The sequence below is a fragment of the Homo sapiens genome, chromosome 4 (genome assembly GCF_000001405.40).
Source record: "Homo sapiens chromosome 4, GRCh38.p14 Primary Assembly".
In the NCBI taxonomy this organism is placed as follows: domain Eukaryota; kingdom Metazoa; phylum Chordata; class Mammalia; order Primates; family Hominidae; genus Homo; species Homo sapiens.
In genome coordinates, this window is record NC_000004.12 from 43,585,877 (window position 1) to 43,589,318 (window position 3,442).

Here is a 3,442-nt window from a genome sequence, read left to right on the forward strand (position 1 = left end):
TACTAAAAAAAAATATATATATATATATATATATATATACACACACAAATTACCCGGCCATGGTGGCAGGCACCTGCAATCCAGCTACTAAGGAGGCCGAGGCAGGAGAATCGCTTGAATCCTGGAGGCAGAGGTTTTGGTGAGCTGAGATAGTATCACTGCACTCCATGGGTGGCAGAGCAAGACTCCCTCTCAAAAAAAACAAAACAAAAACCCACAAACAAACAAAAAAAGATAGGTACATATAACTTTACTGAACTATAACCTACACTAGTAATTTTTTATTACTTCTCTATTCATTTTGCTATTGTGCTGTAAAAAGAAAATATCGAAATTATTACTGTTGCATTAGTCATGGGTTTTACATTTTTCGCGTTCTATTTTTGGAAGACTAGGCAAAACCACTACCACTAGGACTAATAATACCTTTTTTTTTCATTTTCGTCCCAAGATGCTGCAAACTCTAAATTTACATGAAACAATTGACCTTTTAAAGACAGATAACAGCAAGTGCTATAGTGACACAATCACCTGAAAATGCTACAGCACCTGTTTCTGATGAGGACTCAGGAGATAAAGAAGGTGGAACAAGAAATAATCCACCAGGTTCTTTGTTGCCTGCAACTGCATATCTTATTCAAGATGGCTCTGATGCTGGATCTGACTGAGATGATCCCTCATATGCACCTAAAGATGACTCTCCTGATGAATTTTCATCTACATCTACTGCACAGCAACCTCCACCATCAAAGAGGAGGAAAGTGACCAAAATTGTTTGCAAAGGGATAAAAGCTGGCCTAACTGTACAGCCCATAAGAGGTAGAGTTACAGAATCACCAAACGATTTCTTCACCAAAATGAGAACTCCCATAGAAATTCTTGAACTTTTTCATGATGATGAGGTTGTTGAGTTCATTGTCAAGGGCTCCAACTTATGTGCTCGAAGTAAGGATGTACATCTTGGCTTGACTACCTCCAAATTCAAATCTTTTCTGGAAATTATTTTTCTGAGTGGTTACATCTCAGTTCCTAGAAGGCATATGTTTGGGGAACAAAAACAGATGCACATAATGTACTGGCATAATGTACTGCCATGAGACGTGACTGTTTTGAACTACATTTTCTAATTTGCATGTTGCTGACAATGCAAATTTAGATCCAATGGACCAGTTTTCCGAGTGGTGACCTCTTGCAAGCAAACTCAATGAGAGATGTATGAAATTTGCTCCAAATGAAACATATTTCAGCTTTGATGAATCCAGGGTTCCTTATTTTGGTTGTCAGGGGTGCAAATAATTTATCTGGGGAAAGCCCATTCGGTTTGGCTGTAAGATTTGGTGTGGTACCACATGTCTGGGCTACATTGCGGGTTTCAGCTTTATCAGGGTAAAAACCCTGATACTAAACATGAGGAATCTGGTGTTGGTGCCTCACTTGTCCTTCACTTTGGTGAGGCAATTACAGAGACACACCCTGGACAATACCATTTTGTATTTGATAACTTTTTCACCAGTATTGCACTTCTTGATAAACTCAGTTTAATGGGACCTCAGGCAACAGGTACAGTGAGAAAGTATTGCATTGACAAGGCTCCACTGGAATCAGCTGCAGCTCTAAAGAAAAAAAGATAGAGGCAAATTCGATTATCGAATTGATGGCAAAGGCAGTACTGTCTGCAGGTGGAATGATAACAGTGTTGTCACTATTGCCTCATCTGGTGCTGGTATTGATCCCCTGTGTCTTGTCAGTTCTTATTCCCAGAAGCTGAAAAAGAAGATCCAAGGTCAGCAGCCAAACATGATCAAAGTGTTTATAACCAGTTCATGGGAGTCATACACACAGCAGATGAAAACATTAATAAGTATCAGGCATCAATCTGTGGAAATAAATGATATCAAGCCCTCTTTTGTTCTGTTTCAAATTGGTCTTACAAAATGCTTGGCAATTGCATAAAGCATACGATGAGAAGCCAGTGGATTTTCCGGAGTTTCATCGACGTGTGGTATGCCATTATTTGAAGACCCATGGTCATCGTCTAAAACCTGGCCGAAAAAGACCTTCTCAGAAGCATAACACTGACTCATATTATGACGGCATAAATCACGGGATAGTCAAACAGGGAATGCAAATGTGGTATGCTGAGTGTCATAAGAACAACACTTTTCAATGTGAAAAATGTGATGTTACCTTGCATGTGAAGCATTCTGTTGAATATCACACTGGACAGCAGGTTTCACCACCCCCTGAGACAAGAAACATGATTTTATACATTATGTACAATGTAGCAAGGATTTTGCCTAGTGTTCCATTTTTTGAATGCCACATAACTCAACAATACAACATAATAAAAATTTTTCCTTTTCAAATTCTTGTGTCTTGAACTTTTCTAGGTAACATATATGAATTTCATGCACAAATTTAAAAAATTGCAACCTCAGGCATAAAAGGATTAATCTATTCAGGATTTGATAGTTCAAATTATAGTAAAATATTCACCTGGAGAATTTTAAAATACATGTGAACAAAAGCAAATATAAATGCTGTAACCAAAATTGTGTCTTTTAAATATGAAATAAAATTAGAGATCATTTGAGTTAACAATATCTGTAAAAAATATTTAAAAATTACAGAACTGCTTCTTAACATATTTCTAGATTAAAATAGAGATACATAATAATACCTGACAAGCTTCCTTTTCAATTCATATTAAACTACTTTTTTGCCCATTTCTGCTCAAAAGTTATTTCCAGAGAGGTCTTCTCTGACTACACAATATAAAATAAAATGCCATCTCCGCAGTCCCCTTTCATTTAACCAGTTTATTTTTTCTCCAATTACTCTTATAATCATCACATGTATAAAATACTTTATTTTCTTTAATCTGTCTCTTCTTACCAGAATATAAGCTCCATGAGGGCAGAGATTTTTACTCATCAAATAAACAGTACCAAAAATATTTGGCATGCCACAAATTTTTGAGAAATGTGTAAATAAATAACCAAAATCAATGCTGAAAATGTTTTAAAAGAATGAACTGAAGAGAACAGCAAGAAAGAATTAAACCTTAGTACAGTGGCACTACAGTAGATAGATGACCCCTAGACATAATAGACATTAGTTATCACAGCAAAGAGTAACCAACACGAAAATAGAGACTTGGGCCAGAGCAACAGGGAAGCAGGTGGGGTGAGTTATGCACTAAAGTTAGATTTCCTTCATTTTGTAGAGAGACTGTTTATCATTCAAAACGTTTAAGTAGGGAAAAACCCACATGTACAATAGAAATCATCCTCTTTGAGAAAAAATAAAATAAATTGAGACTGATCAACATACACTAAAAGAATTACACTGCTGGGCATGGTGGCTTACGCCTATAATCCCAGCACTTTGAGAGGCCGAGGCAGGTGGGTCGTTCTGAGCTCAGGACTTCAAGACCAGCCTG

The 3,442-nt window shown here is 37.0% G+C and overlaps 1 pseudogene; it reads left to right on the forward strand.

The window, feature by feature from the left end:
- On the forward strand, positions 444-2,453 carry PGBD3P4 (piggyBac transposable element derived 3 pseudogene 4; annotated as a pseudogene).